This window comes from Homo sapiens, chromosome 22 (genome assembly GCF_000001405.40).
Source record: "Homo sapiens chromosome 22, GRCh38.p14 Primary Assembly".
NCBI lineage: Eukaryota > Metazoa > Chordata > Mammalia > Primates > Hominidae > Homo > Homo sapiens.
The window spans coordinates 38,126,027-38,150,167 of NC_000022.11; the positions used below are offsets into that span (position 1 = coordinate 38,126,027).

The 24,141-nt window shown below is 51.7% G+C and overlaps 1 protein-coding gene across 9 annotated transcripts in view, besides 1 other annotated feature; it reads right to left on the minus strand.

The window, feature by feature from the left end:
• Positions 1-24,141, minus strand: part of PLA2G6 (phospholipase A2 group VI) — a 70,336-nt gene that overhangs the window by 14,532 nt on the left and 31,663 nt on the right. For 4 of the 9 annotated variants that reach the window (NM_001349866.2, NM_001199562.3, NM_001349865.2 and 1 more), the window contains exons 3-9: positions 19,412-19,627; positions 17,079-17,262; positions 13,956-14,143; positions 8,962-9,058; positions 6,805-6,987; positions 3,428-3,536; positions 345-423 (exon numbers count right to left, since the gene is read on the minus strand). In NM_001349866.2, the coding sequence (NP_001336795.1) occupies positions 345-423; positions 3,428-3,536; positions 6,805-6,987; positions 8,962-9,058; positions 13,956-14,143; positions 17,079-17,262; positions 19,412-19,627 (1,056 nt within the window). Of the gene's footprint in view, positions 1-344; positions 424-2,242; positions 2,405-3,427; positions 3,537-6,804; positions 6,988-8,961; positions 9,059-13,955; positions 14,144-17,078; positions 17,263-19,411; positions 19,628-22,466; positions 22,598-24,141 lie in introns of all 9 variants that reach the window. The other 5 variants (NM_001349864.2, NM_003560.4, NM_001349867.2 and 2 more) reach the window with 4 other exon arrangements.
• Positions 16,723-17,223: an enhancer, noted in NCBI's record as "H3K4me1 hESC enhancer chr22:38538756-38539256 (GRCh37/hg19 assembly coordinates)". NCBI's record gives its function as "activates a minimal SCP1, AML or CMV promoter by ChIP-STARR-seq in naive H9 embryonic stem cells {active_cell/tissue: H9 hESC(naive)}" and the evidence as "EXISTENCE:reporter gene assay evidence [ECO:0000049][PMID:30033119]".

Sequence of the window (24,141 nt, forward strand, 5' to 3'; positions counted from 1 at the left end):
GGAAGCAGCTGCTGAGATCTCCCCAGGGGGGACCCAGGCATCTCCCCCTCTTCTAGCCATAAGGAGATCAGGGAGGGAGGCCAGAACACTGCGCCAGCCCCACCAAGTCCAAGAAGCCTGGCACCCTGGGCTGGTCTCCAGAGCCTGCACCGCCCAGCATTAATGAACGAGCGACACAGGCTCTCCATGTTCTGTCTCTGCTGAGAACTATAAGACTAGGAGCAGAGCCACTTCGCCGGCTGTGAGGGTGCAGAGAGTAAAGCCCTGAGCCCACAACAGGGGGTGGGTGAGGGGCAGGAAAGCGCACACGTTCCCCGCTCTGCCCCCGATCTCGATCCACTTACGTCCGCTTCTCGTCCCTCATGGAGCCCAGGATGAACGCTGGCTTCCGGGCCCGTGAGATGTGCATGAGATCCTGTAGTTCTGTGAGGCACAGAGCAGGGCATGCTGTGGTCAGGTGGGTCCCCAAGCCCTGCTACCCCAGAGGTCCCTAGATCAAACCTGGGCTGTGCCTCGCCCACGGCCACGCCCTCATCCCCCCACTCCCCCTGTCATCTGTCCCTTCCCCACAGGAAGGACTCTGTCCCAGGAGAAAGCTGAGCCACAGGCCACAGGAGAGAAATGGGCTGGAGTGGAAAGGGGGGCCCACTGCTCTGGGAAGGGCTCCCCACCCTGCCCAGCCAGCTCCCAGGTTCCCCTCAATCTCTTCCTCTTGAAACCCCAAGGCATGAATACCCTTGCGTGTCCTCTTCAGACAAAGTGCTTCTTCTTGCATCGGAGCCGATGCTGCAATAACCACCTGGGGCCTAAGAATTCTTATTCCCTATTGACAGGTGAGGCTCTAAGAGGGTCCATAATTCACCCAAGGTCATTTAGTCAAAAGGCTGAGTCAGGACGTTCCTCGGGGTTTAAGTCCATGGATGAAAGGAGACATCCCTCGTCCTGATCCCAGGTCTGGAAATCCCAGTGGCCTCCGGGATCAGGCCCACCATCCACTCTGTCCATGTCTTCCTTTGTGTCCAAGGCCTGCCTGACGTCCACCCAACTGACTAGCTGCCCCTCCTGACAAGCAGCCCAGTCCCCAGGTGCCTGGTGCAGCAGCCCGCGTGACCCCAACTCTGACAGCCCCCCACCACTGTGCAGAGTCTAGAAGCAGCAAAGCAGAACCGAGGGCTGCGAAGCGGTGTCTCCCCCTCCCCAGGGCACACGGCTCCACAGTGAACAAGGGAAGCAGAAGAGTGGCTGAGAGAGGCCGGGGACAGGGTGCAGGGGAGGGGGCGTGTGGTGTGTGCGCAGCTAAGAAGGACGGATTAGGGAGTGAGAGCTAGAGCTAATGCCGCATGGCTAGGCTCGGTGGCCTCTCCAGGCCCAGGGCGTTACCCATCTGACGCCGCACCCCAGGCCCACCATCCGGCCTGGCTTGGGTGACTGCCTGCAAAATTGAGAGATAAAGATGGGAGGTGGAGGGGGAGTTCCTGGGAGGGGAGAGAGAGGTGGAGCCAGGACTAGAAGCCACAGTCACGGTGCCTCTCCAGAGTTCCAGGCTTGGTCGGGCTACCCTGGCTGAAGGTGCTGCCGCCTCCACAGTGAAGTCTGGCTCACCAAGGACTGGCTCCTGGCTGCCCTCTGTTCAGGGGACCCCGCTCCCAAACAATGGAGGTCCCTGAGTGGGCCAGCCCACAGAAAGTCCAGAGAAGGGTCCTGTCTAGTCTGGGGATGTCTCCCTGGGCACCAAGGAATGCACCGGGGCAGATGCTGGCTGCCTGGCCACATTCAACGTCTGAAAGTCACCACGGGGCCAGGAAGGGGGCACACAGGTCTCAGGCCCAACCGAGATTCAAACAGTGTGATAGAGGTGAAGCCAGAGGGACAGGTGAAGCCAGAGGGCCCGGGCCCCCAGTCCCCCGACAGCACTCCTCACTGCCCACCCTGAACGCCCTGGGGACAGGAGGGCAGTAACAGCAGCCACCTCATGGGTGCCACTGGAAATGCCCAGGCCTGAGACTGTGTGCAGGACACATCCTCTCAGGGGCAACGGAGCATGGGACATCAGCCAGGGACACCCTAGGCCTCTGGGATCTGTGGGTTGCTGGCTGCCTAGAGGCTGACAACTCCGGCCCCATCCTCCCCGGCTTCCTTTAGTGACTTCCGTCCTAGGGATCCTGTTGCTTTGGTGGGGCCTGCTGTGATCCAGGGGCCTGGGAACCAGCTGGAGAAGAGGGAGTCGGGAGGCGAGGCCTACCTAGGTTGTTTAGGCTGATCGGTGGGGGCTGAGCTCTTTCCAGGGAGAAGGGATGATGTGGCGCTGCAGAGCCCTGCTCCGCGGGGACCCCGTGGATGGGTGGGAAGCAGTATTCGGCCCCCACGGTTCTCAGCAGAGTCAAGATCGCCTTCCTGGTGACAACTTGTCATGGTTTGGGGAAGGGGAGATGGCACAGGATCAGAAATGATGTCAACATGCAAAGGAGAGGCCCCTCCTTTCCACACTCCGTCCCCTGTCCCAGCTCCCAGGCCCTGGGCACGTGGGCTGCTCCAGAGGCCTCAGCCCACCCTGACAGGGAGTGCTGCCCCCAGGCTGGTACATCCCAAGCAGCTTCCTAAGGCCAGGGAAGGAGGATATGGGAGGAGGAGGTCAGTGTCACCCTGCCCGATGCCTGTGGGAACCCCTTCTTTCCTTCTACTCCAGCCAAGAAAGCAGGAATCCCATGGCCACATTCAGTGATTCTCAAAAATGCTAAGTGATAGTTCAGGGTTCCAAAGGGACTAATGAGCCAGCCAGGGGGCACCTACTCCATTTGATGGATGGGATTGCTGAAAAGGAGGTCATAGATGCGGTGCATGCAGACACACACGTGTGCACTGGCACACACACACTGCTGCCATCAGGTACCTGCCCACAGTGACCCCCACAGCTGCTGAAACCCTCCAGAGCGGGCTCCAGGCCTCTGGTGAGGAGGATCTGCTCTGTCCAGCTCTGAAGCTAAGGCTCACTGTGCGAGCGTGCAGCACATGGCCATGCACTCTGCCCACACAGGCATGCCCAGAGCTCGTGCAGTGTAGTGCATGCACCCTTGGTCATTCTAGCCAGTGGTTCCATCAGTGAATTCCCCAACGGTGGGGAAAGAAGGCTGCTGCTGGCTCTCCTGTCCCCACCCCTGCTGGGAATCTTAGCTCCCTGAGGTGGGGGGCGCTGCACGGGAGAGGATGCTGGTATAGCAAGCCCCGTGGTGGGCCTGCATCTACTGCTCAGGGCCCTTGTGCTTGGGTAAGGAAGCCCCCTCTCTGAGTACGAGGTGCTCCTGGCAGCTCTGAGCAGGGCGGGTCAGCACAGGATGCTGGCACCTGATGCCTGGGACTTCCCTCCTCCTCGGTCCCTGTATCCACCCAACCCTCACCCCACTCCAGCCCCAGAGTGCAGAGCACATACGTCTGCCGATTTTGGAGGCTAGGAATGTAGGAGTCTCCCCAAAGTCATTCGGGGTGTCCACTTCTGCTCCGAACACGATGAGGGCCTTGATCATCTCCACGTTGTCTTTCTGTTGGAGATGGAGAGAGGATAAGACGTGCAACTGCCGGGGAAGTGAAGAACAAAGGGGCCCCTGGCTGCCAGCCCCAACCTGTCAACTCACCCAGCGGGCCTCTCCTCAGCACGGGGAGACACTGGAACCCTCCTCACCCCCACCCAAGTCAATCTGGTAGTCCAAAGTCTGCCATTTGATGGCTGGGGACCTGACAAACAGGCTTAAAAGCACCCACAGGGGAGGGTGTAAGAACCCAGGCAGAAACTAGAAGTGACTCGCCCCTGCTCTGCCAGCTCCGCCTCCAAAGATGCAGTGCATCTGTGACCCCGACCCAGGAGCCATGGGGACACAGTAGGTCAGCTGCTGATGGCTTTCAGGAGTAGCAAGGAGAGGGTGGGTGAGGGCAGGGAAGGCCATCTTGCCCACCCAGTCCAGGGTGTCATCCCTGAGGGGTAACCGAACACACGTGCCCCTAATGGCAGCCTTCGGGGGAGTGTCCCCACGAAGAACGTCACACATTTCCACACCTGGAGGCCGGGCAGGGGCGCAGAGCATGGCATGGTTTCAGAGGACACACTGGCCACCTGGAACTGTGGGCTCTGGCCTTGTCACCTTCCTCTTCTTGGGACCCGATTTCCCTGCCTAGAGAATGAAGCTGTGGGTCTAGAATGGGGTTTTCCAAACAGTTCTTCACATTCTATTAGGACTTCTATGGCTACAGATATGTGTGTGTTTTCAGCATTAACTGTGATTTTTTGTTGTTGTTACTGTTTTGTTTTGTTTTTTTTGAGACGGAGTCTCACTCTGTCACCCAGGCTGGAGTGCAGTGGCGTGATCTCAGCTCACTGCAACCTCTACCTACCGAGTTCAAGCAATTCTCCTGCCTCAGCCTCCAGAGTAGCTGGTATTACAGGTGCCCACCACTACGCCCAGCTAATTTTTTGTATTTTTAGTAGAGACAGGGTTTCACCATGTTGGCCAGGCTGGTCTTGAACTCCTGACCTCGTGATTCGCCCACCTCGGCCTCCCAAAATGCTGGGATTACAGGCGTGAGCCACCGCGCCCTGCATTGGTTACCTTTTATGGTTGGCACTGGATGGATGGATGGCCATTTATGGTAGTGATGCAACATTTCTCTCAAAATAAATTTAAGTCAGTTTAAAAGTAAGCCAGGCCGGGCACGGTGGCTCACGCTTGTAATCCCAGCAGTTTGGGAGGCTGAGGCAGGTGGAACACCTGAGGTCAGGAGTTCAAGACCAGCCTGACCAACATGGAGAAACCCCGTCTCTACTAAAAATACAAAATTAGCCAGGTGTGGTGGCGCATGAACGTAATCCCAGCTACTCGGGAAGCTGAGGCAGGAGAATCGCTTGAACCCAGGAGGCAGAGGTTGCGGTGAGCCAAGATCGTGCCATTGCACTCCAGCCTGGGCAACAAAAGCGAAACTCTGTCTCAAAATAAATAAATAAAAGTAAGCCAATTTGAAGAGGTGATTAAGTACATAATTGTAAAGGTGGTTGATGAATATGCCAAAAACTGTGAAGATGGGATGAAGATGACCAAAGTCTATCAGCAGTTCTTAAAGTAAGACCTGGGGACCCCTGTGAACACGTGATACCCTTTCAGAGGTCTCACACCCAGCTAATTTTGCATTTTTAGTAGAGATGGGCTTTCGCCATGTTGGCCAGGCTGGTCTCGAACTCCTGGCCTCAGGTGATCTGACCATCTTGGCCTCCCAAAGTGCTGGTGTACACGAGCCACTGCAGCTGGCCAGTTATTTTTTAAGTTTTTTAAAAAATTTTTAATTTTAATTTTTGTGGGTACATAGTAGGCATATATATTTATTATTGTTATTTTTAAATGAATTAATATTTTGAAATTTTCACACTTTAAATTTCTAAAATGGTAAATATAGATAAAGAAAATCCAGATGATTAAAAAATCTTTGTGATCCTCAATAATTTTTCAGAGTATAAAGGGATCAAATAGGCCAAAAAACTTGAGAACTGCTGAGTTAGATCATTCCAAGGGCCCACCCAGTGCTAAAAATGTCCACAGTTTCAAAAATGAAACTATTTATAGTTTCAGCCTTTTGGGCAACAACATCTCTTCCAAGTTTTGACCTTTGGTATAAAACAGGATGTCTCTGAATGTGTCCTGAATCAGCTTTTAGAGTCCCGGGGGTCTCTCATGTTCTGTCACTGAGACTCAGTAAACAGACTTCTGTACATACGGTATTGCTATAGAAAACGTGCACACGGTGGGGCGCGGTGGCTCACGCCTGTAATCCCAGCACTTTGGGGTGCCAAGGCGGGTGGATCATGAGGTCAGGAGTTTGAGACCAGCCTGGCCAACACAGGAGTTCGAGACCAGCCTGGCCAACGTGGTGAAACCCCGTCTCTACTAAAAATACAAAAATTAGCTGGGCATGGTGGCACGTGCCTGCAGTCCCAGCTACTTGGGAGGCTGAGGCAGGAGAATCGCTTGAACCTGGGAGGCGGAGGTTGTGGTGAGCCGAGATCGCGCCACTGCACTCCAGCCTGGGCGACAGTGCGAGACTCCATCTCGAAAAAAAAGAATACATGCACACACATATGTCTGTAACACAGTAACGTCCTCCTCTGCTAGGTTTAATATGTTCATACTCTAGATGTGTAACCAGACAGTAAGGGCTTTGAGGGCAGGAACTGTGTTCTATAATAAACCAACGAATATGCCTGGCACCTGCCACAGGCTGCTGGGCTGCACACTCAGGCTTTGCCTGCCAGGATCTTACAGCCTCCCAGGGAAGATGAGAGCAACACGCGGACCAGTGAAGGGAAGCAGGATGCTCACTCGGGCCAGGTACTGCGTGTGTCACTTAGACATTCTGTAGAGGGTGACCAAGTGTCCACCATAACTTTTCCACAACTCTTCCAGATAAGTATTGACACCACCATTTTCCAGATGAGGAAATCGAGGCTGACAGGTGACATGGCTTGCTCAGGGCCAGTCTATGGCCAGAGCTGTCATTTTTCCCTCTCGTGCCATGCAAGTGCCAAATGGGGGCACAGGTGGAAAAGGTACCACAGCACACAGGAGGTGGTGTTATTTTGGGCTGAGAGGGGGACTTGGAAGGCTTCCTGAGGGAGGAGTCAGGGTCTGAACTGAGCTTTGGGTGGGAAGATGATTTGGAGCAGCTGACGATAGGAGGGAGACAGTGGGGAGGAGGGCTCCAGTCCGGACAGCCCTCCTGCATTCCCACCGGGGCCCCACAGGGCAGGACACGCGGTCCTGGGCTCACCGACATGGCCAGGTGCAGCGGGGTGTTGCCGTGCTCTCCGCGGGCATCCGCGTTGGCCCCGTGGGTCAGCAGCACTATGGCACAGTCGAAGCGGTTGCGCATCACCGCCACGTGCAGGGCCGTGTTCCCCGCGGAGCTGGTGCTGTTCACGTTGCAGCCCCGTTTCAGCAGCATGCGGGCCATCTGCGGGAGACGGTCAGGCTGAGTTAGCACAGGCACTCGGGGAGCTGCCGCACCCCGGGACACGTGGGCACTGCCACTTCTGCTCTGAGAGGCCTACAGGTACTGGGATGTTGGAAAGCGCTAGCAAGAGGATTCCAGGGGCAGGCCCCAGTTCTAGGGGGGCCTAGACTGCCTCCCATCCCATCAGCATCCCAAGACTAGGGACAAAAAGCCAAAGATGTGCTGACTGTTTTAAGAGGCTTCTGGTCCTTTCCTAGTGCCAACAGAACCCACTCTCCTTGCAAAGGCTCCTCTGGGGCCTGTCCTGAAGCACCCCGCTCCCTGCATCCCTCCCTGGAACCCTGCAAAGGTATCACCTCTCACTGGGCCTTGGCAATGCACATCCCTGGCAGAGCCTTGGGAACAGGGAGGGGAGCCTGGCTTTGGAGTCACAGACCTGAGCCCAAAGCCCAGCTTCACTCATCCCAGCTGCCTGCGCTTGGATGGGTCACTGTAGCCATGTGCACTTCAGGGCTTCTGTGAAGATGGGAATGCAAGTCCCCACCTCACAGCATGTGATGACAATGAGTGACCAAACCTACACGGAAGGGCCTGACTCGGTGTCCGGCTCCTGGAATGCAGAGGTACCCTGAGGCTGGCAGTGCCCTCCCTCCTGGCCCATCACATTGAGAAGTAGGCCATGAACTCTGGGGCATCCCATTCTCTGTCAAGCTGTGCTTCCTGGTGATGAGACCAGAGGCCTCCATCCTCCCAGGAGGACAGAGCTTAGCTTAGGGGAAGAACTCAGAGGAGATGCCCAGCCAGGCTCCCTGTGTGTGCAGCTAGGCCCAGCACCACCACCACCACCATCATCATCCATCATCATCATCATCATCTTGATGGTTAATAATGAGTGTCAACTTGATTGGATTGAAGGATGTAAAGTATTGACCCTGGGTGTGTCTGAGAGGGTGCTGCTAACGGAGATTAACATTTGAGTCAGTAGGGGAAGGCAGACCTACCCTTAATCTGGGTGGGCACCATCTAATCAGCTGCCAGCACGGCCAGAATATAAAGCAGGCAGAAAAAAATGTGAAAAGGCTAGACTGGCTTAGCCTCCCAGCCTACATCTTTCTCCCGTGCTGGATGCTTCCTGCCCTCAAACATCAGACTCCAAGTCCTTCAGCTCTGGGACTTGGACTGGCTTCCTTGCTCCTCAGCTTGCGATGGCCTATTGTGGGACCTTGTGATCGTGTGAGTTAATGCTCCTTAATAAATCCCCCTTTAGGCCAGGCACGGTGGCTCACGCCTATAATCCCAGCACTTTGGGAGGCCAAGGCAGGCAGATCACGAGGTCAGGAGATCGAGACCATCCTGGCTAACACGGTGAAACCTCGTCTCTACTAAAAATACAAAAAAATTAGCCGGGTGTGGTGGCGGGCGCCTGTAGTCCCAGCTACTCAGGAGGCTGAGGCAGGAGAATGGCATGAACCTGGGAGGCAGAGCTTGCAGTGAGCCAAGATTGTGCCACTGCACTCCAGCCTGGGCGACAGAGCGAGACTCCGTCTCAAAAAAAATAAAATAAAAAAATAAACCCCCCTCTCTCTCTATATATATATCTCCTGTTAGTTCTGGCCCTCTAGAGAATCCTGACTAATAATACAATCATCATCACGCCACCTTCTATTTGGGAAGCACTTTACAATTTGTGCCGAGTTTTGTCACACACTGCCTTGCTGACTTCATCACATCGCCAAAGCAGAATTCATGGATGAGGAAACTGAGGCACAGGGCGGATCCCCCCGCCCAGCCAGAGAGCAGCAGAGCCCTGCCAGGATCCCAGCTCTTCATGGACTTCTCTGCCTGCACACCCACTGCAAGGTCAGCCCCCAAGTGCTAGCCTCAGGGTCCTCTCGGGAACCTGCTTCCTGAGGGCCCTGAGGACCTGCGGGGCCCGGCCCCCTGCCCCACCCACCCACCTCAGGATCCACTCACCTCTGCGTTCTTGGCCCAGTGGAGGGGGCTGGCTCCGTAACGGGGGTCTTTGCTGTGGATCTGGCTGCTGTCCATGCTGATGATCATCTCCGCACACCTGGTGAGAGAGGGGCCCCGGTTGGTGAGCAGAAGCTAGGGTCTGCGTGGCGTGGGATGAAGCCAGGACTTGGAGCTTCATCTACTGCTTACAGAGAGCATCACTGCAAACAAAGTTCAGCAAACCCAACCAGCACACTCACCATGGTTAAGGCTGTACTGAGCCCCTCAAGGCACAACTAACCCCCTCCTCCAGGAAGCCTTCCTGATGCTGCCACCAGCAATGATCACCCTCCCTGGTACTGGCTTTAGAGTCAGATGGGCTTGAAGTCAAGCCCCAGCTTCCTCACTGGTGGCCTCCAGAAGCTGAGCAACATGGAGAGAGTGCTGAGAGGAGTGGCTGGGGTGTAAGGAAGACCAGGCATTTCAGAGCCCAGTTCTGTGCCTGGCACACAGCCACCCTCCACCTCCTTACCACACTGTCAGTGAGTCACACAGTGACCTGCATGCTATAGGAAGCAGTATGACAGAGTGGGAAAGAGCACAATTGCTTTCTACTCGGTGCCTGAGGCAAGCAGTGTCCACCAGAGATCTTAGCATCTCCAGCCTCAGAGCAGAGGCCCCGGGTTCACAAGCCTCATTAGGCCCCGCCTGGCCCAAAGAAAGTGCTCCATCATTGTATCATGGGTAGGAATCTCGGTTCACAAGTTCAGCTGTGCAAGGAGAAGACTTTAAAATTTTTCTGGCTGGGCGCGGTGTCTCACGCCTGTAATCCCAACACTTTGGGAGGCTGAGGCAGGCGGATCACCTGAGGTCGGAAGTATCAAAGGACGGAATGCAGGGACTTGAATGGACATTTGCAGACCCATGTACACAGCAGCATTCTTCACAACAGACAAAAGGTGGAAACAACCCAGGCGTCTATCAGTGAAGGACTGAATGGATAAACAAAATAGTATTCTGCCTTAAAAAGAAAGGAAATTCTGATACGTGCTGCAACATGGATGAGCCTTGAAGACATCATGCTAAGTGAAATAAGCCAGGCACAAAAGGACAAACGCTGTATGATTTCACTGATACGAGGTTCTAGAACAGGCAAGTTCTGAGAGACAGAGAGGATATGGGACTTATCGGGGGCTGTGGGGAGGGGAGAATCGGGAGTTATTAATGGTTACAGTTTCTGTTTGAGGTGATAAGAAAAGTTTTAGAAAGGGGTAATGGTTGGACAACATTGTAAATGTGATTAAAACCACCGAATTGTACACTTAAAAGTGGTTAAAATGGGCCGGGTGTGGTGGCTCACGCCTGTAATCCCAGCACTTTGGGAGGCCAAGGTGGGTGGATCACCTGAGGTCGGGAGTTCGAGACCAGCCTGACCAACATGGAGAAACCCTGTCTCTACTAAAAAATACAAAATTAACTGGGCATGGTGGTGCATGCCTGTAATCCCAGCTACTACTCGGGAGGCTGAGGCAGGAGAATCACTTGAACCCGGGAGGTGGAGGTAACGGTAAGCCGAGATCACACCATTGCACTCCAGCCTGAGCAACGAGAGCGAAACTCTGTCTCAAAAACAAAAAACAAAAGTGGTTAAAATGGCAAATTTTATGTTATATATAATCTATCACAGTTGGAAAAAATAAACATAATATATCAGAATCATTGTATACTTTCAATAGGTGGATTGTATGGAATAGGAACTATATCTCAATAAAGCTTTTTTTTTTTTTTTTTTTTAGTGCAATTACTAGGACAGCCCACATGGGTTTAATTCCCAGGTCTGGCACTTACTGACTGCCTGACTTTGAGCAAATTACTTAATCTCTCTAAGCCCTGGTTTCCTCATCTGTTTTTTGTTTGTTTGTTTGAGACAGGATTTCCCTTTGTCACCCAGGCTGGAGGGCAATGGCATGATCATAGCTCACTGTAGCCTCAAACTCCTAGGCTCAAGCGATCCTCCTGCCTCAGCCTCCCAAAGTGCTGGGATTAGAGGCATGAGCCACCACACTTGGCCCTCAGCTTTAGAGGGGGAATAAAATACATCAGCTCTCTGGGCTATAGTGAAATAGCCCACATGAAGGCTAAGCCGGTGGCTGGGACAGCGTTAGTGTTCAGCTGCTGTTCTCTATTATTAGGGGTGCCCAGCACAGGCCCAGGATTTATGCTGCCCAGCTCCCTACAGCCCTTATGCCAGCGCTTGGTGCTCAGCACTAGGCACATGGAGTCAGGCCCAGCTTCTTTCCCTGGGCCCTCTGGAGCCCCCCAAGTCTTCACCCGAGTGGCCAGCTCCGGCTAGTGTCCATGGCTTGGCTCGGGCTCTGCTGCCCCCAAACCTTCCCTGAACTCCAGCTGCCTGATGCCGTCTCTGAGCTCCTAGTGCAGCCCCCAGGCATCCTCAGTCTCAGCCTCCATCTCACTGTCTGGGATTATCTGTTTCCCTTCCTCAGCAGGGGCTTAACCATCTGAGAACCGCAGGCACAAACCGAGCTTTGTGGGAAAGGTCAGCTGCATTGAAAAACAGCAGAGGTGGCCAGGCGCGGTGGCTCACGCCTGTAATCCCAGCATGTTGGGAGGGCGAGGCAAGTAGATCACCTGAGGTCAGGAGTTCAAGACTAGCCTGGTCAACATGATGAAACCCCATCTCTACTAAAAATACAAAAATTAGCTGGGCATAGTGGCGCACACCTGTAATCCCAGCTCCTTGGGAGGCTGAGGCAGGAGAATCAGTTGAACCTGGGAGGCAGAGGTTGCAGTGAGCCAAGATCATGCCATTGCACTCCAGCCTGGGTGACAGAGTGAAACTCTGTCTCAAAAACAAAACAAAGAAAAGAAAAGAAAAAGAAAAACAGCGAGGGAGCTCCTAGTCTGAGCTGTGAGGGAACCACTTGTCAGTAACACTGAGGCCGTGGGATTCTTGGAGTAGGGCTGTGCTGGCTGCCAAGTCGATAAGGGATCTCCCTGCTCCACTCAAGGTAGGAGCCTCTTCCTTTGTCTTCTGTGCAAAGATCCTCTTATGTGATGGGACGCTGGACCCACCCAGGATGGCCTGTGTGGGGACAGAGGGACCGGTGAGGGCTGAGGTTGTTTGAAGAGAGAGAAAACTGGTCAATTACAGCTCCTGCCCAGTACAGCTCAGGGTGGCTGGAGACAAGCAAGAGTGGGGCCATGTGCCAGCCCTCTGGGTAGAGAAGAGCATCACCTGGTGTCCACTCAGGTCACAACCTGCAAATGGGGAACCTGACTGCGGGGCTGGGGGTGTTGGTATCTTCTCTGTTTGGTCAAGTATTTCTGAAAGCTCTAGCTCATTCTGGCTGTGCTTGGGAGATTCAAGGAAAGGAGGGTTTGTCCAGGCTTGGTCCAGCCCTTAGAAGGGCTAGCAATGCCCCATGGGGCTAGCAAGGTGGATGCAGCTCCCAGAGGAAGGAACAACCTGAGGACAGGCACAAGTGCCAGCCTCCCTGCCTGAGTGCTGCCCGTCCATGCCTTCTCACTGCTTGTCTGGCACTGCGCTATGAGATTCTGGGTGGCTGGGGTGTCTCCTGTCCTGGAGTGGCTTATTCATTTCGGTGAGGCTGGTGCTTTAGCACAGTGCCAGGATCGAAGGACTCATTGGCTCATTCATTCATTCTAGATGTTGTTCCTGTTAGATAGTATTTTTTTTCTTGAGATGGAGTCTTGTTCTGTCGCCCTGGCTGGAGTGCTGTGGCACAATCTCAAATCACTGCAACCTCTGCCTCCCAGTTTCAAACAATTCTCCTGTCTCAGCCTCCTGAGTAGCTGGGACTACAGGCACACACCACCACACCTGGCTAATTTTTGTATTTTTAGTAGAGACAGGGTTTCACCATATTGGTCAGGCTGGTCTCGAACTCCTGACTTCAGGTGATCCACCCACCTTGGCCTCCCAAACTGCTGGGATTACAGGTGTGAGCCACCGCGCCTGGCCTAGATAGTATTTTGAGATTTGAGATATTCATTTATCTTTTTATCTCATCCCCTACCCCTTTGAAGACAATTTTCCTGACACCAGGGGTTCCCAGGCTCCCAAAACATGAGCCTGTACCTGCCTCCCAACGTGCCACCAGCCAGAAAGGAAAGAGGCATCTAGGTGGACGGGCACTCGGCCACCTTACCAAGCATTTCCCAGGCTTTGAGCTGGGCACACAAGAAACCAAGGAGCACTGAAGCCATCGGGGGGCTGTTCAGATCAGGCTGGGCTGGGTTAGAGGAGGGGCCAGGTGGGCCTTGGGGTTGCATCAGACTCCAGAACTGGAGCACCACCTGGAGGGGAGCTGGAAAGAGGAGACCCCAAAGAGGGCTAAGATTGGTTGTCTCCAGTTTTATAGAGGGAGATTCACTCCTAGGAATTAAGGTACATTAAATAAATTTATTTTTATTTATTTATTTATTTATTTATTTATTTATTTTTTGAGACAGTTTCGCTCTTATTGCCCAGGCTGGAGTGCAACGGTGCGATCTCGGCTCACTGCAACCTCCGCCTCCCGGGTTCAACCGATTCTCCTGCCTCAGCCTTCCAAGTAGCTGGGATTACAGGCATGTGTCACCACGCCCAGCTAATTTTGTATTTTTTAGTAGAGATGGGGTTTCTTCATGTTGGTCAGGCTGGTCTCGAACTCCCGACCTCAGGTGATCTGCCCACCTCAGCCTCCCAAAGTGTTGGGATTACAGGCGTGAGACACCGCGCCCAGCCAGAAAAATTTTAAAGTCTCCTCCTTGCACAGCTGAACTTGTGAACCGAGATTCCTACCCATGATACAATGATGGAGCACCTTCTTTGGGCCAGGCGGGGCCTAATGAGGCTTGTGAACCCGGGGCCTCTGCTCTGAGGCTGGAGATGCTAAGATCTATGGTGGATACTGCTTGCCTCAGGCACGGGACAGGTGACAGGAGAGCTGGAGCCCAGCAGGCCAGCAGATGGGGAGGGGAGGAGGTCTTACCCCTTCTGAGAGAACTTCATGGCCGAGTGGATGGGGTAGCCGTTGGGGCCCATGATGTTGCACCGAGCATTGCACAGCAGCAGCACGCGGACCATCTCCTGCTTCCCCAGCTGGCAGGCCAGGTGCAGCGGGGTCAGCCCTTGGTTATTCACCTGGTTCAGGCCAGCCACTGCGTTCCTTCCAAGGAGCTGATGAAAGAGGAAGGGAAGTTTGACTCCATAGGATGCTGATAAGAACGTAAAGAGGCCGGGCGCAGTGGCTCATGCCTGTAATCCTAGCACTTTGGGAGGCCAAGGTGGGTGGATCACCTGAGGTCAAGAGTTTGAGACCAGCCTGGCCAACATGGTGAAATGTCGTCTCTTCTAACGATACAAAAATTAGCCGGGCATGGTGGCAGGCACCTGTAATCCCAGCTACTCAGGAACCTGAGGAAAGAGAATCGCTTGAACCCAGGAGGCAGAGGTTGCAGTGAGCTGAGATTGCATCATTGCACTCTAGCCTGGGCAATAGAGCAAAAACTCTGTCTAAAAAAAAAGAACGTAAAGAGAAGCACCAGGAAAGCCAAGTGCCAGTGTGGATGGGAGGGAAGGGGTCGACCTGGCATGACTGTGGCTCACATGAAACATTTCTGAGTCAAGGAACTTAAAAGGTAGCTGTATCTCAGGATGGGCACTGGGGGTCCAGGTGGGAATGATTCTTGCTTTTCATTCTGTCCTGACTGATTTTTTTCTACATGCAGGTACTATGTTTTCAATGAAAGAACAGCAGTATTAAAAAGAGAGCCAGGGGCCAGGCGCAGTGGCTCATGCTTGTAATTCCAACACACTGGGAGGTGAGAGGATCACTTGAGACCAAGAGTGTGATACCAGCCTCGGCAACATAGGGAGACCCCATCTTTACCAAAAAAATTTTAAAAATTAGCTGGCGTGGCCTGGGTGTGGTGGCTCACGCCTGTAATCCCAGCACTTTGGGAGGCCGAGGCAGGCGGATCACAAGGTCAGGAGACCAAGACCATCCTGGCGAACACGGTGAAACCCTGTCTCTACTAAAAATACAAAAAAAATTAGCCGGGTGTGGTGGCGGGCGCCTGTAGTCCCAGCTACTCTGGAGGCTGAGGCAGGAGGATGGCATGAACCCGGGAGGCAGAGCTTGCAGTGAGCCAAGATCGCGCCACTGCACTCCAGCCTGGGCGACAGAGCAAGACTCCGTCTCAAAAAAAAAAAAAATTAGCCCATGTGGTGGCACGAGCCTGTAGTCCCAGCTGCTCAGGAGGCTGAGGTGGGAGGATCACCTGAGTCCAGGAGGTTGAGGCTGCAGTGAGCCACAATCACACCACTGCACTCCAGCCTGGGCGACAGAGCTAGATGCTGTCTCAAAAAAAAGAAAGTGCTAGGAGGGTTTTACTGTCTCACTTTTGGCTCAGTGCTGTCCCCATGAGGTTCATTACAACCACAGTGTACCCATGTGACACCAGGGTCACCTCACAGCAGTCCCACTGGACCTGAAGGCAGGCCAGAGACACAGCAGGAAGAGCAAAGGGCTGGCATCGAGGCCAATGTAAGGTCAAGCCCCACTCTCTCAGCTTTGTGGCCCTCCCTGGGCACGCTTCTTAATTAACAACACTGAACCTCAGTTTCTTCGGAGAGGAAAGGGGAATAATGACCTCCACCCCATGAGTGTATTCTAAGAATTAACTGGAACACATACAACACTCAGTTCAAGGTCAGGCACCAATCAGCACCGGATAAAGGACAGCTGCAGTCGTGCATGACTATCGAGAAGCGGGTGTGCACACCCCCGCATGGAGGCAGGGTCTGCGCGGCACCATGCTGGGTGCGCAGAGGATTCTCGGTGAAAGTGGAGTTCAACAGTGGGTGGAGAATTCCCTTCCCTGAGAGCAAGAAGCATAAGATATGAATCCACATTTTCTGGGCCGGGCACAGTGGCTCACACCTGTAATCCCGGCATTTTGGGAGGCTGAGGCAGGTGGATCACTTAAGGCCAGGAGTTGGAGACCAGCCTGGGCAACATGGCAAAACCCCATCCCTACTAAAAATACGGAAACTACCCAGGCATGGTGGCACATGCCTGTAATCCCAGCTACTCAGGAAGCTGAGGCACGAGCATCACTTCAACCCAGGAGGTGGAGGTTGCAGTGAGCCGAGATCGCACCACTGCACTCTAGCCTGGGAGACATAGGGAAACTCTGTCTCAAAAAAAAAAAAAAAAAAAAAAAAAAAGGAATCCACATTTTCTGGTATAACGTAGTTGCATTCTGATGCCAAGGCAGAGAGAACATGATCTTTAGAAGAATTTTCTAATTCTAGACAATAAAACATAATCCAACATCCTGCCTTTTCTGTTCAATCTAATATATGAAATAGCTATTTAATAGTATCACCCCATCTGCTTGCCCACAATTAAAAAATCACATCTTTTGCCCAGGTAATCAAAAACGTTAACAGGAGGGCCTCTGGCACAAATGCCTACAGGAACTGGAGACAGTTTGGTTTGCTTGGTTTGAATTCCTGTAAAATAGGGTTGTCCAATATTTTGGCCTCCCTGGGCCACATCAGAAGAATTGTCTTGGGTCACACATAAAATACATGAACGCTAACAACAGCTGATCTAAAAAAAAGGTCCATGCATGGATCTCATAATGTTTTAAGAAAGTTTGTGAATTTGTGTTGGGCCACATTCAAAGCCGTCCTGGGCTGCATGCAGCCTGCAGGGCCACAGATTGGACAAGCTTGCAAAAGGTTAAGCCCAGGTCCCGCTGGCCCACGAGCCCCTCCAGGCAGGCATCTGGCTCACAGTTTGTGCTCAGGAAAAGTGGAACTGAACTAACTGACTGGAGCTGGGCCTTTTTTGGGGTTTATTTTGCTGGGTTGGAGGCCGTCCCCAGGTTTATCAAGCAAAGAGACTGAGGACGTGGCTCCTGGAAAAGGGCTGGGAGGGAAGAGCCAGGGAGGGGTCTGCACCCTCCATGAAGGAGCTCAGGCCTCAAGGACCAATGGGGGACAGTGAGAGGCCTGAGAGTGACACCTGAGCCTAGGGGCCCAAAGGGAACCGTGGACACCGGGAGGTATCAGTACCAGTCACCCTGCCCCTCCCCCTGCTCACCTGCAGCACCTGAGAATTGTCACCCTGGACAGCATAATGGAAGACGGTCTCTCCCTTGTAGTCGGTGACATCCATCTGAGTGTGGCAGTACTGCACCAGCTCCACCAGGATCTCCCCATCACCCTTGCGGCAGGCCAGGTGCAGGGGTGTGCAGCCCTCCTCGTTCTCCGCGCAATTGGCACAGCTGCAGGAGAGGGCCAGGGTGAGCAGAGGTGAGCAGGTGTGGTACAAGGTGGCAGGGGGACCTAAGTGCACATGCAGGGAAGTGCACTCGGAAACTCGGACTTTCTGGTTTATTTGAGCTCAAGAGCATTCCCGCCACTCAGCTAGTTGGGCTGATTTGAATGTAATTATATCTGATGTGACCTGTATCAGGTTTCTGTTCAGTTTGCTCACTCGTACAAGAGATGGGCCCCAGGGCCACACCAGCAGGAAGTGGGCAGGGTGGTGGCACAGGAAAGGGTCACAGAACACGGATATCTCACTAGCCTCAGGCAATTCACTTAACCTTTCTGGGCGTCAATATCCTTATCGACACAAGCTGCTGTGCCTGCCCCAGGAAATGGACAGAGTGATGGTGAGATGAGACAGTGCTGTCCAAAAGCACGCCTGGAAACTAAAGTGCAGTGAGGGTTTTTGTTTTGTTTTGTTTTTTTGAGGTGGAGTTTCACTCTTGTTGCCCAGGCTGTAATGCAGTGACACAATCTCGGCTCACTGCAACCTCCGCCTCTGGGTTCAAGCAATTCTCCTGCCTCAGCCTCCCGAGTAGCTGGGATTACAGGCGTGCGCCACCACGCCTTGCTAATTTTTTGTATTTTTAGTAGAGACGGGGTTTCACCACGTTGGCCAGGCTGGTCTCAAACTCCTGACCTCAAGTGATACACCCGCCTCGGCCTCACAAAGTGCTGGGATTACAGGTGTGAGCCACCACGCCCGGCCAGCAGTGAGGTTTTGAGTTCTGGGCCTGGGAGCTTAACTGAGCTATCTAGGATAGAGACTCAGAGGAGGTGTGGCTACCTCTGCACAAGATGGCCAACTGGTGCCCTGTGCAAGGGTGGGGACAGTGCCCTCACCAGGGGCAACAGCTGCTCCATCTGCTGGCTGAATGGATTCACAAAAGGAGGCCTTCAGCTTCCAGAAGAGCAGCCTGGGCAGACACCAAGGATCCAAGCCCCTCTTTCACCCTCTCTGGCTGAGTGACCTGCACAAGTCCTGTTAGCTCTCTCTAGAATGATGATACCTGGGCCGGGCATGGTGGCTCACGCCTGTAATCCCGGCACTTTGGGAGGCCAAGGAGGGCAGATCACCTGAGGTTAGGAGTTCGAGACCAACCTGGCCAACATGGTGAAACCCCGTCTCTACTAAAAAACACAAAAAAATTAGCCGGGCGTGGTGGCGGGCGCCTGTAGTCCCAGCTACGCGGGAGGCTGAGGCAGGAGAATGGCGTGAACCCGGGAGGCGGAGCTTGCAGTGAGCCGAGATCGCGCCACTGCACTCCAGCCTGGGCGACAGAGCGAGACTCCGTCTCAAAAAAAAAAAAAAAAAAAAAAAAAATTACCCGGGCATGATGGCACATTACTGTAATCCCAGCTATTCCGGAGGCTGAGGCAGGAGAATCACCTGAACCCAGGAGGCAGAGGGTGCAGTGAGCCAAGATCGCGCCACTGCACTCCAGCCTGGGTGACAGAATAAGACTCCGTCTCAAAATAAAATAACATAACGTAACATAAAATAAAATAAAATAAAATAAAATAAAATAAAATAAAATAAAGTAAAATAAAATGACGATACCTTGTGGGGGTTGGGAAAATTCAATTTCATGGTGGGTAGAAATCAGCTCCCACAGACCTGGCACCTGGTGAGCACTCCGGACTCTGGAAACATTACATTGTCCTTCTTACATTTTAATCTGGTAGCAACGCAGCACCTTTTTTTTTTTTTTTTTTTTTTTCCTAGAGACAAGGTCTCATTCTGTCACCCAGGCTGAAGTGCAGTGGTGCAATCATAGCTCACTGTAAACTCTAACTCCTGGGCTCAAGCAATCCTCCTGCCTCAGCATCCCAAGTAGCTAGGAGTATAGACACATGCTAATTTTTTAATTTTTTCGTAGAGACAAGGTCTTGCTATTTTGCCAGGCTGGTCTTGAACTCCTAGTCTCAAGTGATCCTCCCTCCTCAGCCTCCCAAAGTGCTGGGACTGCGTTAGTGAGCGACCATGCCAGGCCCTGCTCCTTTTTAAGTCAAACTATGGAGGGGAACCGAGGCCTGCGGCCCCCACTGCCCACACAAGCAGGTACACACACGTTGTCCAAATGGTCTTGTTCCCTTGCTCACCTGATGATACGGCTGTGATGGAAGCACTCGCGGATCCCTAGCTCCACAGCCAGGTGGGCCACTGACCAGCTGGGGTGGTTACGGATGAGGTCGGTCAGGTGCTGCAGGACCTCAGTGTGCAGGACCTGAGGGGAGCTCTCATAGAAGGGTAGCAGCTGGGAAGAATACTGATGGAAATTCACTAGGGCGTCAGCCTCCAACTCCAGCTGGAAGAGTCTGTAGAGCCAGGACAGAGGAGCAAGACCCGAAATGAGTAAGGCGGGACCCTCGGCCCACATCCCTGCTGGAATCAGAAGGTCCCCAGGCTGCGGCCTGGCCAGCTCCAGCCCGACTCCCCTCCCAAGCAAACACACACACACACACACACACACACACACACACACACACACACACACACCCCTATACACATGTAAATGACATAATGGCGTTTAGGTTAGACTTTCTTTGTTTTTTAGAGACAAGGTCTTGCTCTGTAACCCAGGCTGGGGTGCGGTGGTGTGATCATGACTCACTGCATCTTCGAATTCCTGGGCTGAAGGGATCCTCCTACCTTAGTTCCTGAGTAGCTGGGATTACAGGCATGCACCACCATGCCCAGCTAATTTTTTTTTTTTTTGAGATAGAGTCTCATTTTGTCACCCAGGCTGGAGTGCAGTGTTGTAATCTCACCTCACTGCGACCTTCACCTCCCGGGTTCAAGCAATTCTCCTACCTCAGTCTCCAGAGTAGCTGGGATTAAAGGCGTGTGCTGCCACACCTGGCTAATTTTTTGTGTTTTTAGTAGAGATGGGGTTTGGCCATGTTGCCCAGGCTGGTCTCGAACTCCTGAGCTCAGGCAATCCACCCCCCTCAGCCTCTCAAAGTGCTAGGATTTCAGGCACTAGCCACCGTGAGCCACTGTGCCTGGCCTAATTTTTTTTTATTTTTGTTGACAGGGGGTCTTGCTATGTTGCCCAGGCTGGTCTTGAACTCCTGGCCTCAAGTGTTCCTCCTGCCTCAGCCTCCAAAAGTACTGGGATTACAGGTGTGAGCCACTATGCTTGTCTAGATTTTCCTTTATTTTGAAAAACTTTCCTTTTCTTTGGTAATATCATTTATTATTTTTATATTTTATTTTACCACAGCCCTGCCATATCCACTTTCTAATTTCATTGCCACATGTGAGAGCTCCAGCCTCGAGTACTTGGCCCCTCTTCATAGTAGGAACTAAGTAAGTATTGTTTAACCTAAATGTACAGCAACAAAATATTATATAAATTATGGTATAACTATGTAATAAACTATTATGCAGTCATTAAAATGAGATATTTAAAAAAAGGGAAACTTTTCTTTTTCTTTTCTTTTCTTTTTTTTTTTTTTGAGATGGAGTTTCATTCTTGTTGCCCAGGCTGGAGTACAATGGCACGATCTCGGCTCACTGCAGCCTCCATCTCCCAGGTTCAAGTGATTCTCCTGCCTCAGCCTCCTGAGTAGCTGGGATTACAGGCACCCGCCACCATGCCCGGCTAATTTTTTGTATTTTTAGAAGAGACAGAGTTTTGTCATGTTGGCCAGGCTGATCTTAAACTCCTGGCCTCAGGTGACCTGCCTGCCTGGGCCTCCCAAAGTGCTAGGATTACAGGCATGAGCCACTGCGCCCGGCCAGCTTTGTTCATTTTTAAGTGTTGAGGTTGAGTCCAAGTTTTGCTACTAAGGTGCTGTGTGATCTTGGGAAATCCTTTTCCCTCTCTGAGCCCCATTTGAAACATGAGACTAACTGTACCTGTCCTACCTACCTCCCAGAGGTGCTGTGAGGACAGATGAAAAACCACTATAAAAGCACTTTCAAAACCATAACCATTATATGTCAGTGATGGTTACTTAAAGTTCTGACCAGGGCTTTTAACATACCAAAAGGTTTTGTCTTGCATACCTCTACAAGCGCAGCAGCCAGCCAGAGTCTAGTGAAGGCAGTGCCCAGAGAGTGTTGGCTCAACGGGACCAGCCTGTTGTTCCACAGAGAGTGCGTTGATTAACAGTTAACTACTGGGCATGTGATCTGTGCCAAATGGAGGGGTCAATTAATGAACAATTGCATAAAATGCTCTGCCCTCCTGAAGCCTTTTTTTTTTTTTTTTTTTTGAGACAGAGTCTCACTCTGTTACCCAGGCTGGAGTGCAGTGGCGCGATCTCAGCTCACTGCAACCTCTGCCCCCTGGGTTCAAGTGATTCTCCTGCAATTCTCCTGCTTCAGCCTCCCTAGTAGCTGGGATTACAGGCGCTTGCTACCACGCCCAGCTAATTTTTGTATTTTTAGTAGGCACAGGGTTTCGCCATGTTGGCCAGGCTGGTCTCGAACTCCTCACCTCAAGTGATCCACCCATCTTGGTCTCCCAAAGTGCTGGGATTACAGGCGTGAGCCACTGTGCTTGGCCCGAGCCTATGTTATTATGGAGGAGATCAACAAAATGACTAAAGTAAAAACATAGAATAAGGAAGTACATTAAATAAACTATAACGTAATCAGTGTTACAGAAACAACAAAAACCACAACAAAGATAGGGAAGGAGGAGGCGGAAGGAAGCCATTCCTCATTGCCCTTGGCTGGGTTTTTCCTTCATCTCACCAGCCTCTCAACATCAGGGTACTCCACATCAAGTGTTGCCGATATGTCAGAGAATGACAACTGAAAACTCATCACTGGAATTAGCATCACGGAGGCATGCACGACCTTGACAACATTACTTTTAGTGGAATGGAGGGAACCAAGGCCTGATTAAAGTGGGTTTAAGGACACAATGTGAGAATCTGAAGATTGCAAAGATAGATATTTTTGAGGAGTTTTGCTGTGGTGAGGAGCAAATAAAGGAAAGGATAGCGAATGGGGAAAGTGTAATCAGGCATTTGAATGCTGACGGGAACGATGATTCTCTCTCAGAACTTCCACTTTCCATTAACAGCAGACTAGGGAATGTGAAACAGACCACCTACTGAGGACAGCCAGAAATGCTGGACAAATTATTAAAAAACATCTGCTGGCAGGCACTGGATACCTCAAAAGACACTGATGACTCACCAGGCTGGAAGGAATGATGGAAACCCAGGAATTGCAGTGTTCAGGTGGCTGTTACTGGAGAGGATGGGCAGACGAGCAGCACCAGTAACAGCCTCATGGGGCTCAGGACACAGGGACTGGAGCCCAGGCGTCTGCCAAGAGGAGAGCCCTGATGAACATCTCTTACTTTGGGTTAGGGTCCTAAAGAACTACGTAGCCTAGGAATAAGGGTGAGCCATACACAGACACGCTCTCACAGAGACCACAGTTCAGCCTCAAGTGATTTCAGTTCCAGAAACTAGACTGAGGTTATCCTAGTTGCAATGGGAGAAGCAAAAATAAATTCATTCTTTGTAAGGAAACATCAAACTAGGCTCTAGATTATTTCTTTTTTTTTTTTTTTTTTTTTTTTTGAGACGGAGTCTCGCTCTGTCACCCAGGCTGGAGTGCAGTGGCGTGATCTCGGCTCACTGCAACCTCTGCCTCCTGGTTCAAGTGATTCTCCTGCCTCAGCCTCCCGAGTAGCAGGGATTACAGGAACGTGCCACCATGCTCAGCTAATTTTTTGTATTTTTAGTAGAGATGGGGTTTCACCATGTTAGCCAGGATGGTCTTGATCTCCTGATCTCGTGATCCACCTGCCTCAGCCTCCCAAAGTGCTGGGATTACAGGCATGAGCCACTGCGCCCGGCCATTCCAGATTATTTCTACGAGCATACTTGCAAATACAATGACCAACACATAATCAAAACTCACCAGGCATATGTGGAGATAAGACATGAAAGAAAACCAACAGAAACAATATACAAAAGAAACATATCTGTGAGGGGACTGTAAATATTTAAGTTATCCAAAATAGACTTTAAAGTAACTGTGATAACATTCGAGAGGTTAAAAAAGGAAATTTAGAATTTTGGTGAAGAGTTTTGAATGATCAAAAAAGCATCAAATGGAAATTACAAAATTAAAAAATATAATCAGGAAAGAGTAAACAGAATAAAGCATGGAGAGACAGAAGAATACAAAATATAGTAGAGTACATAAGAGACACAGACTATCTAATAAAAGATCTAGCATACATACATAAGTGGAGGATCAGAGGCAGAGTAGAAAAAGAATCAAATGGAAGCTACATTTGAAAAGTTAATGTCTGCAAACTTTCCAAAACTGATTTTTAAAAAACATTATAGGTCAGGCACAGTGGCTCATACCTGTAATCCCACCACTTTGGGAGGCCAAGGTGGGTGGATCACCTGAGGTCAGGAATTCCAGACTAGCCATGGCGAAACCCCATGTCTACTAAAAATATAAAAATTAGCCGGGCGTGGCGGTGGGTGCCTATAATCCCAGCTACTTGGGAGGCTAAGGCAGGGGAATTGCTTGAACCAGCGGGGCGGAGGTTGCAGTGAGCCGAGATCACGCTACTTCACTCCAGCTTAGGCAAAAGAGTGAAACTCCATCTCTGATCACGCTACTTCACTCCAGCTTAGGCAAAAGAGTGAAACTCCATCTCCAAATAAATAAATAAAATTATTCTGCTGATTTAACATACCCTATAAGCCCTCCCTGACCCCACCACCAAAAAAAAAAAAAAAAACACATAGAAAAAAACAAAAAACAAGAAAGCCCCAGAAATCCACGCTTAGCACCTTGTAGGGGTTTTAAAACAGGGCCCCCTAAAATCACTGATATTCCT